General features: G+C 49.8%; 1 protein-coding gene across 6 annotated transcripts in view, besides 3 other annotated features; it reads left to right on the top strand.

The window, feature by feature from the left end:
• Positions 1–16,014, top strand: part of ZFHX3 (zinc finger homeobox 3) — a 1,109,046-nt gene that overhangs the window by 856,804 nt on the left and 236,228 nt on the right. The window lies entirely within an intron of this gene.
• Positions 1,913–2,082: an enhancer, noted in NCBI's record as "active region_11102". NCBI's record gives its function as "activates an Ori minimal core promoter by ATAC-STARR-seq in GM12878 lymphoblastoid cells {active_cell/tissue: GM12878}" and the evidence as "EXISTENCE:reporter gene assay evidence [ECO:0000049][PMID:35858748]".
• Positions 1,913–2,580: a biological region, named in NCBI's record as "OCT4-NANOG-H3K4me1 hESC enhancer GRCh37_chr16:73066446-73067008".
• Positions 2,018–2,580: an enhancer, noted in NCBI's record as "OCT4-NANOG-H3K4me1 hESC enhancer chr16:73066446-73067008 (GRCh37/hg19 assembly coordinates)". NCBI's record gives its function as "activates a minimal SCP1, AML or CMV promoter by ChIP-STARR-seq in naive H9 embryonic stem cells {active_cell/tissue: H9 hESC(naive)}" and the evidence as "EXISTENCE:reporter gene assay evidence [ECO:0000049][PMID:30033119]".

The raw sequence follows: 16,014 nt of genomic DNA, 5'->3' as shown, positions 1-16,014 counted from the left end.
TATACCTTCAGCACATCTCTATCGAGACAAGCCACATGTCACAGGCTCGGTAGTGACAAGGGTCGGTGGCTACCTAGTGGATGGTGCAGCTCTGGAATAAAAGATTGCTGCCCTGTGCTCTTCTGAGACATTCTGTTGATGGAGCCAAGTCAGCCATCACCCCTGTGACCAGCTGCTTGCATTTACTGGGGAATGGGTGCAGGCTCAGTCTGCACACAGCGGGTTTGGTCAGAAATGCCTGGCTCCCCCGACATGCTCATGAGATTGTTAGGAGATAGAACTGTGACATTGGGGTGCCAGTGTTCTGTAAACTGCTTCCTGGCGTACAGGTGGGGGTGCTCACCTGACTGTGAAAACCTTCCCAGAGGCAGAAGACCAGCAGTGGCAGCAAGGCACGGGCCACCTCCTCAGGGGACAGCCCCACTCTCATTCATTCCTGTGAGTGCTAGTGTGTTTGTTACAACAGACTTACTGCTTCATGTATATTACTGAAATCACAGACAGGGCTGCAGGGAGCCTCTAGAAATGCTCGTTTCACCCTCTCCGTGGTGGGTTGCTAGTTTGGGGCAGGAGGAAGGCATGAATCTAGAACCTTCTACCTGTAGGTAATTGGTGTGGTTTTTCTGACTTCACAGTCATTTCTAGCACCACACACACAGGCTTCCGGTTTGGCTAGTCCAGGGACTGTGTGGTGCATTGCTTGGAGGGGACTTTCTCTTAGAGGCTCTAGTGCCCCCCAAGATGAGAGTTGTAGGAGCTGCCACTGTTGGGAGGGTCACCGATTCCAGCAAGAAACTTCCCCTCGCCTTCTTCTCTTAGTGTTTATTTGGATTTCTGCTTTCTTGCCTTATCTTGATGCCGCGGAATGGAAACCTTCCCTAGTCGAGGACCAGTGGGCGTCTCCCATTGGAGGAGGAGAAATGGAGGGACAGAGGGTGACATGGAAAACTCAGAAACAACCTTGTCCATGAGAATCAGGGGTGTAATGGAGGCAAGCAGTCCCATCCTAGACTTTTTTTTTTTTTTAAGTTCGTTACAGTTTTTCTTGTTCACCCAGAAGTGACTTCTTTTCAAAACTAAATGATTTCAGCCTTGGTACCATTACAGCTCTTCTCAGTGAAATAGCAAGGAGAACTGTCTGCTGGCTTCTAGCAGAAAGCGCCACTGTGAAATGTACCCTAGAGAAGATGCTGCTTTCAGATGCTTTCAGAGCGGCCGGGAAGTCCTGGAGTCTTCTCACTGTTGACCTTAGCGTTCCTTGGTCAATACATGTGACAACAACAATTTTCCTTTGCCATTGCTGTTCCCAGAGCACCCAGCCAGCCTCCTACGATTTGAGGCTCTCCTCTAGGATGCCAGTGGGATTTGTGCCCCTGGTAAGCTGAGAAGCGGGTGTGGATTTGGGTTTGGAGGGAGGGAGGTATCGAATTCCTTTAACAGGCTGGCCTCCTGGCAGGCAGGAAAAAAACTGTGAAAGTGTGAGGTGGAAGGGGCCCCGGCGCTGGCCTCTGCTGGGGACAGAGCATCGCAGCTGTCTGACCCCGGGTGAAAAGTTCAAATCTGCATTTAAAAGGAGTGCCAGTCCCCCCCCACCCCCCGCCTGCCCCCTTTCCCCCCAGTCAAGTTGAAACTGTTCACGTTTTAGAGGATATGATCAGGCCCTGTGCTGGGACACCAGGCAGCCCCGCTTCACTTCTGTCAAGACCCAGTGCTGGGGGGCGGCGGGGGAGCTGCTCAGCTAAGACGCAGTTCTTGAATAACAATAGTAGTTGAGGACGAACCCTCGGAGGCGCCTGGAAGGGAGGGGAAGTTTCTCCCTCAGTCAGACACTGGGCATTTAACCCCTTTTTCTCCAGGTGCTTTGCAAGGCCGTTCCTCTTCTGTCCTCCTCTCCAGGTCATTGGTGGGTTATGTGGGGGTGCTGGCAGGGCTCCAGGGTACTGGGGGTAGGGGGTAAGGAGGTGTCTGGCAGCTGAGGTCACCTGTCCATGGAGGGTGGTGGAGCTCAGGCCTGGAAGGGCTGCTCCCCTGTCGCGTGGGGTCAAGGAGGGCCCAGGCTTGGGGAGAAACTTGAGTGGGTTGGGATGAGAGCCTGGCTTCTGTTTTCCATGCATCTACCTTCTTCCTTCCCCATCCTGCTCCTGCTGCCTGGCACCCAGTGGGGTCTGGCCGCAGCCCTGCCTGAAACCCCCTCCACTGGGGCTCTGATTTGTTTACTGGAGCATTAGGTGAATGTAAACAGTTCAACCTCTCCGGTTTTATATGCTTAAAGGGTCTGAGTGTGAATACAAATGGGTATTAGGCCCCTGTGGTTCCAATGACTGTCCTCCATCCGCTCTCGTTGCTAACTAGCAGGTCTTTAACCTGCTGGGGGGAGGAGGAGGAAAAGAAAGTCCTTTGCAAGCGTGTGGACTCTGGGATGTCTCTACTTTTTTTTTTTCCTGTTCTTTTTTTAAATGCTGAGCTTTAAAAAGTGATGTTGGGAGGCCCCCATCTGTAGGACTGAAAGTTGAAGAGCACTGAAGAGGAAAGCTGCCCGCTCTGGGGAAGGCTAGTTATTTTGGTCTCTTTTTGGGGACGAAGAGAAGTTTTCTAGGTTCCTGTTACTTTGTCGCATGCGCTCGTGAAGTCTGACTATGGCGTTGAGAAATCCTTTAGCACTGGGCAGGTGGTCGAGTATACCTCTGGTTTTTTTGTTCTTTCTGAATCTTCTTTTTAAAAGGGTAGTTAGGAATGGATGCCTTGTATGACTGTGGTCACTAGGAAAGGGTCTTTAGCCAGGTTTTTGTTTTTGTTTTTTTGTTTTGCTTTTGTTTGTGTTTTTTGAGACAGGGTCTTGTTCAGTCGCCCAGGCTGGAGTGTAGTGATACAATCATGGTTCACTACAACCTCCATCTCCTGGGCTCAAGCGATCCTCCCACCTCAGTCCCGCAACCCGAGTAGCTCGGACTGTAGGCATGCATCACCACGTCTGGCTAATTTTTTAATTTTTTGTAGAGACAGGATCTCCCTGTCTCCTCGGCATCCCAAAGTGCTGCAATTACAGGCGTGAGCCACTGCGCCCAGCCTATTTGGCCAGTTTTAACACATCTTCTTATTTTCTCCCTACTAGAGTAGGACACATTTTTTTTTTCTTTAGGGGCTCTCAGGAGCTCATAAAGTTTTGAGGCAATGCCAGGCCACTTACTCTTATAAGGTTCTAGAATGTGCATTCTATTGGGGTGCTGCCTTCCCTCTGAAATCTCAGTGCCTTCACCCCCCTTCCCCACTCTAACTCCTCCCATTCTCTCCACACCTCTGCCCTCTCCTTCTAGCAAGGGTCACAGTGGGCCTTCTTTTCAGCCAGAGGGCCCGTGGTGACCTGCAGAGAAAGGAGCAGAGGATCTTCCGCCCTGCACGCCCGCGTTCTGGTTCATGCATTCAAGGCCCAGCTCGTTCTGTTTGCTGTGGTGGCTCTGAGTCCAGTCACGCCATCATGGGGGCATTTTAATTAGCAGTGCCTTAGTCATTAGTGAGTTATTGTTTTTGTCTGGAAACACTTAAGTACTGTTTACTCGATGTCTCCACGAAATGCAAAACAGCAATTAAGCAGAAATTTGTTGTATGAGGCAGGGACCAAAATGGATCATCAAAAGCAGGTTGTGGTTCCTCCAAACCAAGGAAAATCGCTTTTCCCTTTGGCCTCCTGATACCTGGAATGCTCCAAACCCTCTCTTTCTTCCCCGACCTGCCCCCTAGAGTTACTGGCTAGAAACACTCGGGAACTTCGTGTTTTCCTGCGTCCTTCCTTCCTTCGCTGGTGTGAACATTTGGGTTTGGTGAAGTGTGAATGTTTACTTCCCCCCCCGCCGCCAGGCTTTTTTGGTCGGCTACCTGGGATATTTCAAAACATTTTCAAACGAAGATTAATTATTTGTGAAAACATTTGTGATGATTTATAGAACTTGAGTTCGTTTTCTTTACGCTTCTTGAGACCAAGTGCCATTGTTAGTCTGATAGATCCTTGTGACCTCTTGGGAGTATTGGGATGCTGAGATAAATATCCTATTTACCTAAAAAGAAATCTTTTTATGGATTGGTAAGAAAGAAGCCAAGGCTAGGAATTCTGGCTGCAGTAGAATGGAGAGGTAGCAGGAAACCACACAAGGGGTGGAGAAGTGTGGATCTTCTGTAACTTGGACGAGTATGGCTGAACCTAAGGAAGGAATTGCTCCTTGCTAAGACACAACACAAAACAAAAATCCCAGACCAGCTTCAGTAGGATTCACCCCCTCCCCAGGGTACAAGGTTTATGGAAAATGGAATCCCTGAGAAGGCTGAGAGGGGCGTGCAAGGGAGGCAGGTTAACTCCAAATGTATCATATTAGCCTTCTTTGCAGGAGACACATTGGTACGAAACTCTTGGTAGCAAGTTGGTCATTGGGGACCCTAGTTTCTAACTGCTCTAGCTCTGGACTCATGCTTCCTGTTTCTTCTTCTTTTTTTTTTTCTCTTTTCCCTTCAAACAATATCTTCTGACTTCCAGATTTCTGATAAATTGATAAGAGGCATTGCGTGAGTCAATAGAGCTGTAGACACTTTGCCAATATAACCCCGGCTCTATTGATCTGCCAGTAAATTAAAGTCTTACTTAGAGGCTGCCGATATTTCTAATCTCCTGCCTCACCAATTACATCCTCCCAGCTACCTGGAAAGAGGACTTGAGCCTTCTAACCTTTTTGTGGTCTGCTCTCCTTCCATGGAACTGGGGGCACTTGCCTTGCTTATCTGGTAGGTGAAGGGGCAGCGTGGAGGAGAATGAACCTGCTTAACTCCTTATATGGGATCTGTCTCCGTGCTATGAGATTCATTAGTAAAAATGTCTGGCAAAGCAATTCCATTGTGGTGGTCACATACATTTTATAGCGAGTCTCCAGGCCACTCTTGCCCTTGGGTGGGCTCCAAGATTGGAGGTAGAGAAAGTTGAGAGTAGCCGGTCTTGGGGATTATCCTGGCATATTTTATGGCTGTCTTCCACTTTTAAAAAATTTGTGAATAGCCTTTCCTTTGCCCTGGGAGGAGAATGGGTGTTTGGATTAGATGTTGGGTTATTAGTATTTATCACTTATTAAAACAAAACATGCCTAAGAGTTTGTGGAAAATTAGAGGATCAAAGAGGAGTCCCAAGATACATTAGGAAGGATTCAAGTGTGTTTATGTGCATGCTGCTTTTTTTGGAATTTGTTTTGTTGACATTTTGCATTCTCCTTATTGGAGCAGAGACATGACAGAGAAAGAACTCATTTTTTGTCCATTGTAATTTTTGCCAATGTCTCCCCTCTGCCACTTCCCAGGCCAGCCTCTCTGTCGTTGGCATGAAGTTGAGTAATGACAACAGCCACCTAAAGATGTCCACGCAGGAACAGTGGGGCTGATCGAGTTCCCTGCTGGGATTCCCACTTGGGCGATGGCCTTGTGAGCAAATCGTTTGTCCGATAAGCTCTTTTCAAGTCCCGTTTATGTGGTTGGCTTTGGGAAGAAATCTCCAGATAAATGCTGTTTTCTCTCTAATACTCCAGAGCGAAAAATCAATGGGAGGGATAATTCCTTCCGTCGTCCAACACACACTTCTTGTGTGTTTCTACCTGTGGCATCACTCACAAAAAGTTTTTAAATAAAATATCCAGTCCTGAGGTCTCAGCTTTTCTCCAGCATTTCAGGGAAGGGAGCTTTAGGAGGCTCTTGTGTCCCCTTTAGTAGAAGGAGCAGCATGGACCCTGTGACCAAGGAGCGTTTCTCATTTTCCTCTTTTTCACTCTCCTTACCTGTCAAGAGGCTGAAGGTGATGGCGAACCCAGGTGAGGAAATGTGGGAAACACGCCAGTGTGGTTCATCGATGCTAGCTGCATTTGGGAGGTGATAGAAGGGGCCTTGGGGTCCCAGGAGCAGGTGGGAGCCATTGAAAGGACTCCTGTTCCTAGCAGAGACTTTCCGAACTGCCCCTGGGCAGCCAAGATGGCCCCATGTTGAGGCAGTGGAGAGGGTCTACCTTTGGTGAGGTCTTCTCTGCTGCTGGGCTTGAGGAAGGTGCACTTGGCTCCCCTGGGCTGAGTGAGTGAAGAAGATGTTAGACAAGCAGAAACCTCAGGAGGCTGGGATTGACTTTCCCCTTTGTTTGGATTGCATTGTATTGTAGGAGGTGTTGAAATCTTGTTCACACCTGTCGAGGCTGAAGCCTGGCTTTCAGAGCAGTTTGTAACAAGACTTCTGTTGTTGTTGCCGAAAAGGTTTCCCTGCTCACAACAGAGGAACTTTATTGTAGCAACTTGTTAATGTTCAATTAGGCAAATTTTGGGTGCCCCGGGGCTGTGGGAGGGCCCCTGCTCACTTTTTCTGGGCGGCCCACTGCCCCCTTTCCCAGGGATGGGCCCGGAGAAGCAAAGCCTGTACCATGGGCTTCTTGGAGAGCCACCAGTGGGGGTCTTGGCAGAGCTTGAGAATCCCTCCGAGCGGTTGAGGTTATTGGAGATGGAATTCTGTGTCTTGAGTTCTAACAATCGTCCCCTGTCTGTTGGTGCTTTGGGGCTCTCCCCACCCTTGGGTGTGGCCAAGGCTGTGCCTGATGCATCCTTAGCCTGTGGGTTGGCAGGAGGAGCGACCAACCCCAAACCCGGTGTGTGGCAGCCCCAGCATCACACTGCCCCGGGCTCTGGAGCCCTGTTCTTCTTGGGGATCTGAGCCTGCCTGGCCACACCTGGGCATGTTCTCTGGCTTTCTTCCTGGCAGGACTTCTCCCGAACAACTGTCCGGCACCTTGATGGATGGTGTTTTCCACCTCCCGGTGGACTGAGGTCTTGAGACCTTGGAAGGGGAAAAACAGGAAGCTCATTTCTCTAAATAGGAGGTCTGACTCGGAGGTGCTTATGTTTTCCCACATGAACATGGCTGACAGTTGTCTTCATGGTGGAAAAAAGGGGAATCTTGGGACTGAAGCTCTGTCCCCACACTCCCCCAAAAAAAGGAGAAGCCGCAGGGTCCCGGAGGGGCCGTGTCCTATCCTGCCCTGCCCTGACCCGACCCACTGTCTCGGTGCAGCTGGGACCTGGCGGCCTGGGAGGAGGTGGGAGGTGGGTGCTGGCTCCCCTTGACTCTGGGAGGCGTCTGTGCTGGGAAGGCCCGGCTCTGTGAAATATGGTCCCCGTGGCAGCCTCTCTCTGCAGTGCTGAGCGATGAGGAGTGCAAGGCACCCGGCAGTGTATTAAACACTAGTTGAGCACAGGAGGGGCAGTATATCACAGGAGAGAGATAAGCAAAGTTCTCTGATAGTGGATCAATAAAGGTTAGTGACATCATATCTCAAAGTGAGGGAACCTGCTTTCTGCACAGCCATTTATCAGATCCCAGCCTGGAAGGGCATTAACCCCTTTCTGGCCAGATTTCTTCTTACTGAACACAGACCCAAATTCCTTCTTGGTGGTGGGGGCAGTGGGGAGGATAGAGGGTGTCATTTTCCCTAACGCTGTATTTAAGGAGGACTCTTCACATGCTGCTTTCGGAAATGCCTTCTGCAGTTAGCATATGAAACCAGCTGTGGCTAGAGCATGCGTTGTGTATTTATGGAAAGTTTCTTAACTTGAAATTTTGTGCAAAAATTCCCATAAAAAGGCATTCCCATAAAAAGGCATTGTTTTCTAGAGAAGTTTGAACACCCCGCCTGCATGCGCAAGCTGTATTGCTGTCAGATACCTGGAGCCTGGGTTACGTTTGGTGTTTGCTAGGCAAGCAATTTTGACTGGACTGGAGAGTTAAAATTGTAATAAGCCTGGGAATGATCACGGTTTGTCTTTTTTTGGCTTTGTGGTATTCTATTAGTAGATATTGAGAAGTCTCCCAGCAATCTGGGATTGGCAAACTCTAGTCTGCGGGCCAGTTCCGACCCAACACATGTTGGCATGGCCTGCCAACCAAGAATGGCTTTTACATTTGTAAATGGCTGGTGGAGAATCAGAAGATGAATACGATTATGGGACATCTGACAATATGTGACATTTATATTTGTGTTCCTAAATGTTCATTGGCAAACAGCAGCACTTGCTTGTTTGTGTTTTGTCTGTGACCACTTTCATGCTATCATGTGGTGTAGGTGAGTAGTTGCAGTGAGAATGCGTGGCCTGCAAGGCCTGAAATAGTTACATGGCTCTTTATGGGAAAAGTTTGCCAACCCTAGTCTAGGCTCTAGCTCCAAATCTACTGCTAACTAGCTGTGTGACCTTGGGTAAGTCACGTTAGTTCTCCTTTACCTGTGTTTCACTGGTCTCTGGAATAAAATCTTCTCCCCCAGCGATTCCAGGGTGTGCTGGGAGTCAAATAAAAATGGATGAGAAATGGTTTTGAAACATAGCTTGCATTTGCAAAGTGTTTACTATTAAATGAGCAGACCCTTTACTATGTGTTTTTTTTTTTTTTTTTTTTTTGAGGCAGTTTTGCTCTTGTTGCCGGGCTAGAGTGCAATGGCATGGCACAATCTCGGCTCACTGCAACCTCCACCTCCCAGGTTCAAGTAGTTCTCCTGCCTCAGCCTTCCAAGTAGCTGGGATTACAGGTGCCTGCCACCATGCCTAGCTAATTTTTTGTATTTAGTAGAGACAGGGTTTCACCATGTTGGTCAGGCTGGTCTCGAACTCCTAACCTCAGGTGATCCACCCGCCTTGGCCTCCCAAAGTGTTGGGATTACAGGCGTGAGCCACTATGACTGGCCTTTCTGTTTTTGTTTTTGAGACAGAGTCTTGCTCTGCCCCCCAGCCTGGAGTGCAGTGGTGTGATCTCGGCTCACTGCAACCTCCGCCTCCTGGGTTCAAGCAGTTCTCCTGCCTCAGCCTCCCTCCCAAGTTGCTGGGATTACAGGCGCCTGCCACCACACCTGGCTTTTTTTTTTTTTTTTTTTTTTTTTTTTTTGTATTTTTTGTAGAGATGGGGTTTTGCCATGTTGGCCAGGCTATTCTCGAACTCCTGACCTCATGGGATCCACCCACCTCTGCTTCCCTAAGTGCTCGGATTACAAGCGTGAGCCACTGTGCCCAGCAGACCCTCTACTATTTCAGCCTATCGGAGACTGCCAAGACATGGGTGTGTTCCTTTTGGGAAGCATCGAATCTGGCGTGAGAGGTTGAGCTTTGTGGAGGTCACATAACTTGTCTCAATCCTGTGTCACATTGGGTGAAGTTTGAGTCTCAGTCTGTCTGAAAACTTGAAGGCATGCATCTTCCCGGAGAGAACATCTTTCGCTTTGCAAGGGAACATCAATTTTCCTCAGTGACTGCTGTGATTTTTATCCTGAAAGAGTTGGATCACTTTTCTTTCCTTCCCACCAGTGATTTATAGACAGGGAGAGCAGGCCTTTTCCTGTAGGTCTCTGACTGTTTATCTTTTTCGGTTGGGCCCTGACAATACTCTGGCTGGGATGTTCATGTTGGCTGGGGTGTCAGGGGGCCAGATGCCAGACCTGCAGCCCAGGGGTGCCTGGGGGAGGGATAAGGAGGCCAGAGATTCCAGCCCAAAGCTAATGGGCTGATGTCCAAGTGGAAAGTGTATTTTCATTGAGGAAGTGTAGGCATTAGAGGACCCTGGATTACTGTGTGATTGTGCTGTCAATACTGCTGTATCGAGTCCGTGAGGGCTCCACAATACGGGGAAACACTTAACTCACTGCTGCTGCTTATTGAGAAGCCAATAGCAATTTACTTGCTGACACTTGACATCAAATCCATTCCCAGAGGTGGAGCTCTGCAAACCACCATGGTGTCCCTCCCCTTCCCGGGCCCCCTCTCTTAACTTGGGTGTCTGCCCATGTGTGAGTCCTGCATGGGCTGGTGGCTGCCGCCGCATTGGGAAGGACTTGGGGCAGGGCGGTGCAGGGCGGTCGTTGTGGGGAGGGGAACGTTCCTGTTTAACTTTCATAGCTGACATGACATTTTCTTCTCCTCCCAATTGCTCTCATACTCATCTTCTTTCAACAAGTGCTAAATGACCCTCCCTTCGTTCCCCCTGCGGTGTAAGTCTTCTGCATGTGGGAACTTTCTCCTCTCCATAAAAAAGTTAGATCCTTATAATGGATACATGCGGAGATCATATGTGGGAGAGGGCTGAGGAATGTCTCGTCTCCAGGAGGCAGGCGGTGTCTAAGGGGCAGTCAAGGCCGAGGGGTATTGTGTTGGGGAGTAGAGAGCTTCCCATACAAGGTGCAGGGCCTTCCTGGGCCCACCTTCTGGGGGACATGTAGCCGCTGAGCTGTGGGATCCGGCACAGCCAGACCCTCTGGTCCTCCTGTAATTCTTCGTGGAGTGGAGTCTCTCTGCAAAGTGTCTGGCTGCTTGATTGACTGTGTTTTTACATAGCCAACCTGTTGAGATACTTTCAGACCCTGGAGTCTTCTAGAATAATCAGCTCACAAATCAGGGTAACCCGCTTCTGGGAGGCGGAACCCGACTGACACATGGCGGTTTAGGGGTGACCAGCCCAAGGCTGCCATTGGATCTGGCTTTACTGAGTGCTGGTGAGATTTCGTTTTATCATTGCATTCCCAGTCCTCGAGAACCAGTGCCCTGATCCTTTCAGTGCAACTCACGTGGGCTTATTTGCAGCTACCACTTGGAGATCAGGGACAGGAAGAATTGGGCTTGGGTAGTCAATGGTGCATGATCTCAGACTCAGTCTTCATGGGTGGTGCCTCCTGCCCGTGGCTGGGGGAAGGAAGGGGAGTGGAGACTTTGCCTGCGGGGCATGATGAGGCTTGGTGGAGACTGGCCATCAATTCAGTGGCGTCTGCTGCCTCCCATCTGGAAGTTTCTCCCCAGCTGGGAGATGGGGCTGCCTCTTCTCTTCTTTCGCCCCTCCCTTCCCCCATCTCTCCTTGCTCACCTGCCTCTTCGTTTCTTTGCCAAAACACTCCAGCTATTTCATTTCTTTCAGGAGGAGCAAAGCTGTGTGGATGTGAGATGAGGGGGCTCTGTGGACTTTACCTTGTCTCCAGTGACCTTGATTCGATGCAGACTATGGAGCAAGTGGGTGAGGCAGCCTCTGTCTCTGCTGTTTATTTAGCGCCACTGGCATGTGCATGTTGTTTAATGGTAATACTGCACGTGCCTTGTTTCCAGGACGTCCTTCTCTGGGAAGACAGAGCGCTCAAAAGAAGCCCTTCTACCCAGTCTACAGATAGGGTGGGAGGAGCTGGTGTCCTCCCCGTAAGCCTGTCCTGAAACGGAAGTGTCCCTCGGAGCTCCCTTGCATTTTGTTGCCGTGGATGGAGCCACGTGGCCTTTGGGCTGACGTCGTGGTGTGTGTGGTCGTTGCAGCCTTTCTCTTCGTTACTCTAGGCTCAAGGATTGGCGTGGGTGGTGGCAAGATGACATGAAGCCTTTGAGGTTATGGATTTGAGCTCTGATTCCAGCCGTCTTCAAAATACTCACTTTAAGCCTTTTCTAAGCGCTGGTTTTCTGCAAAGCAGAGGGTCCTACCTGAAGGATGCATTAGGGGTCTTCCGGCTCCTAGGTGTGTGACCTGCGTAAGCACAGTGCTGCCTGTAGCGCATCGTGGGAGGGAGCCGGGGGCATTGGCTGTTGCTTTGGCCCTCGTGGCTTATGATTACAGTGTGCACACTTGTCTTGCTGTGCTTATCTTATTCACCTTAAGAGTTTCTGGGATCCAGCCTTTCCTCCCTCCGCCCCTTACCCTCACAGGCCTGCTCCAGGCCCCTTGTGTCTAGATGACAGCAGGCTCCTAAGGGGGGTTTCCCTCCAGCCCCTTCCACCTCCAGGCAGTCTCTGTGCGGAGGTTGCACAGTCTTAGCTTGTAGGCAAAACCTAGCCTGTAGATGTGTTTTGTTCAGCAAATACTATATTTTATTTTATTTATTTATTTATTCTTGAGACAGAGTCTTGCTCTGTCGCCAGGCTGGAGTGCAGCAGTGCGATCTCAGCTCACTGCAGCCTCTGCCTCCGAGGTTCAAGCGATTCTCCTGCCTGAGGCTCCTGAGTAGCTGGAATCATAGGCATGGGCCACCACGCCAGGCTAATTTTTTATTTTTAGTAGAGATGGGGTTTTGCCATGTTGGCCAGGTTGGCCTCGAACTCCTGACCTCAAGTGATCTGCCCGCCTCGGCCTTCCAGAGTGCTGGGATTACAGGCGTGAGACACTGCACCTGGCCACATACTATGTTTTAAACATGGGCACATTTCACAGAAAAATCAGTATTAAAACCTTCTCTTGAAAAAAAAAATCGGGGGATTTGGCCATTTTGGGTCTTCAGGGCAAAACCTGGCTAGAACAGGGTGGTGACTGCCCCTTGTGGAAGGAACATCTACTTTTTAGGTTGCCAGAGCTCACTGTTGCTTACCAGCTCTTACCCTACCACGTCCTGTTTCCCAGCCAACTTCGCTCATTTGTGTTACCTGCTTGGCCCTGTGCTGTCTGGGATCGTGGCATGTGGGCCGTCATTGGACTGAAACTCAGTTTCAGCGGTTCTCCGTAGGGGGTGATTTTGCTTCCTCCCCCCAAGATTTGGCAGTCTGGAGACATTCTTGGTTGTCACACTTTGGGGAGAGGATGCTACTGGCATCCAGTGTAGAGGCCAGGGATGCTCCTAAACATCCTGCGATGCCCAGGACAGCCACCCTCATCCCCAACGAAGAATGACACAGCCTGAATATCAGTGGTGCTGCCCTCAAACTCCCGGCTCCGTATTCTTCTTGTTCTGCTGACCAGGGGCCTGCAGTGGCTCCTCTCCCTCCTGCCTTTCACCATCTGCCTGCCTGGCTTGCAGGCCTGACTCAGGGAGACGGGCTTCTCCCAGCCTGGCTTTCTCAGCGAGAGCTTCCAGCCTTGGGGCTTCCCTGGGCTGCCCTTGACCTTTTGTTTGAGAGTCCCATGTGTGCCAGACACTGTTGTTGGTGCCGGTGATACTCCAATGGGGGCAAAAAAAGAGAGAAATGCTTGTCTGCTTGGAGCTTATACTACCTCATCTCCCTCACTGGACATCATTACTAAGTGCATTATAGTATTTTGGATGATGTTAAATGCTGTGGAGAGGAGGCGGGACGAGGGCAGGGGGTGAGCAGTAGTTGGCAGGTTCGGTGGACACAGTGAAGAAAGGCTTTCGGAGAAGGTGACATTTGAGTAAAGACTCATTCCTTAGCTTGGAGCTGTGTCACTCCAGCCTCTGCCTCCCGTCTACACGTGGCTGTCTTCCTTGTGTGCATTTCTGTGTGTTCCCTCCTCTTCTAAGGGTACCAGTCATTGATTTTTTTTTTTTTTTTTTTTTTTGAGATGGAGTCTCGCTTTGTCACCCAGGCTGGAGTGCAGTGGCATGATCTTGGCTCACTGCAACCTCCACCTCCCAGGTTCAAGTGATTCTCCTGCCTCAGCCTCCTGAGTAGCCGGGATTATAGGTGCCCGCCACCACACCTGGCTAATTTTTGTATTTTTAGTAGAGACAGGGTTTCACTATGTTGGCCAGGCTGGTCTCAAACTCCTGACCTCAGGTGATCTACCCACCTCAGCCTCCCAAAGTGATGGTATTATAGGTGTGAGCCACCACACCTGGCTCAGTCATTGATTTAAGGCCTACCCCGATCTAGTCTGAGCTCAATTTAGTTATAAATTACTTCAAAGACTCTATTTCCAAATAAGGCCATGTTCTGAGGTTCTTGGTAGACATGAGTTCTAGGAGGGATGCTATTCGATCTGCTCCAGGTGCTTATCCTCTGGATAGATTTTGAAGGGAGATATGGGACAAGACAGGACATAGAGTCAAGGGTGACTGCAAGATTTTTAACTTGAGTGACTGGAAGGACTGTATCCCTGTGGCCTTGGCTGGGCTGGCCAGCTCAGCAGGCCCTCGTCCCAGAACCTCGAGCCCCGTTTCCTCGATTGTCTTTCCTCGCTGCTCTAAACCCCTTCAGTCTTTCCTTTTATTGAGCCACTATATGTCTACTTAGCATCACAATTAGGCCTCTGAGTTAGCTGCTCAAATCTTTAATTATGAGTAAAAGGGTAAGGTGCCAAGTCTGTCTGAGGACATCGGGAAAATAATTTAAGGAGCTTCATTTTTCAAAGTCCTTGGGCCTATACCCTTTCAACTAATCCTTGCAGGTGCTCTATACGGTATGCAGAGTGGGGACACATCTCATTTTGTAGATGAGAAAAGCTCAGAGACTAAATGGCTTTGGGGGATCATCGAGCAGTTGGTTCAGATCTGCATTTGAACCCCTATGGAAGAGTATTGGGGGGGCGGGATGAAGTGGATTATATAGGAAGACATCCTGCTGCATAACGTTTTACTCAGTTCAGCCAGATTTGAATAGGATAAGACAGAAAAGGTCCAACAACCATGCCCGTGCCTCCCTGACTTTACCCTTAAACCAGTAAATATTTAAATGGAGAATTTCAGGAAGACCAGGGGCATTGAAGAATCGTTGAGTCAAACTCAACATTGGAGGTCTGAACTGATCAGTTCCACTTGATTTCAGTTTCGATGACTATTGCTGAGTCATGGTCGACAAGCACTGCCAAAGTCAACACCACGGGCCTGGCCGGGGCAGCTGGCTACACAGTGGTTTGTCCCATGGGTCCCGCGTTGCCCGTTTTCTGTGTATTTCAGAAGCTGTCCCATATGGTGAGGCCATTCTTGGCCCTTACACTCTGTGTGGGGGATGTTTTTCTTTCGGAATCTAAGACAGAGAGCTTTTGTTGGGAAATTTCTTGTGAGAAATCAGAAGTATGTCTTTACTTTTTGATAGTGTGATAGCAACATCACCCCTCTTCGTGGTTTCCTTGGGCAGTTTGCTATTTGATCTGATCAGAAATTTGCTCATGATCCTAAGGGAGTGTTCTGCCAATGTAAAGTTTGCGTATGTGATTCATTAAATGTATTTTTAAAAAATTAAAATCAGGCCTCCCGGTGCCTCTGTAGAGTAATTGATGCAGGGCTCTTGCTGGTGCCTCTTGTCCTGGTGACAGTGGCCTTTCCCACAGTCATGGTGCTTCCTTTTTCTTGCATAGTCAGCTCTCAAACCAAGAATGTGAAGGATCTGTGTGAGATGTTGCAGGGTACAGTGGATTTTGTCTTTCAGCGATGATAACGAATGGTGATAGTTCCCATGGAATGTCTCCATGGTGCTTGCAGGAGGTTAAAGGGCTCAGTACGGGACCCAGACAGAGTTGGAACAGACATTTTTTAAAAACGTGTTTATGCCCAGCCAGGAATGCCAGCCCGCTCTCTCATTTTTCTTACCAGTGGGCTAAACAAATAAACAGTTCCAGTTGTGGGCAGATGGATGAGGAGATCTTGAAGAAGCCATAGAGAAAGGGAAGGGGGCGGGTGAGCCCTGATTGCTCTACGTGGGATGAGGGGTGAGAGAGCGGAGAAGGCTCTCTAGGAACGGGCTCAGGGTTTGGACTGAGACGTTGCTTCCTGCGCGTCGTGATGACTCACAATCTCCAGGTTCATGCCCTTTAGAGCAGACAGTCTGTGCATCTCAGGGTGAAGGTGGGGATAGCAGAGCGGGGTCACCCAGTAGCCAGGGCAGGTTTGGGGAGGCAAAGTGCTGTTCCCTCGATGCTGCAGTGTGGCTGGGAGGGCTGCAGGGGTCCAGGCAGGGGTTTCCGGTGGGCACCTTGGTAAGGAAGTGTATGTGTGTTCACACTTGGTGGAAGGGTTGTGGTGGCCTGTAAACCAGGCAGCCCATGTGCACTCAGGTGCGCGTGCAGACACGCACACGCACACGCACACACACACACACACACACACACGCACAGACACACACACGCACACGCTGGTGGAGGATTCAGAGGCCCTTCTGGGGCTTGGCGTCATGTCCTGAGAGCCACCTTCCTGAGACTATAAAGTGGGAGTGAGGCTCACGTCCACTGGCAGCTGGCAGTTTCAACAGCATCAGGCCACTTTCTGAAACGAACTGGCCACTCGGTCCTTGCCTCGTAGTGATAGCTTTTGAAAGTCACAAGTGGCTTTAATCCCAACTC

Source organism: Homo sapiens, chromosome 16, assembly GCF_000001405.40.
Source record: "Homo sapiens chromosome 16, GRCh38.p14 Primary Assembly".
Taxonomy (NCBI): domain Eukaryota; kingdom Metazoa; phylum Chordata; class Mammalia; order Primates; family Hominidae; genus Homo; species Homo sapiens.
Note: the sequence above shows the minus strand (reverse complement) of the source record. Positions and strands in the feature narration are given on the sequence as shown.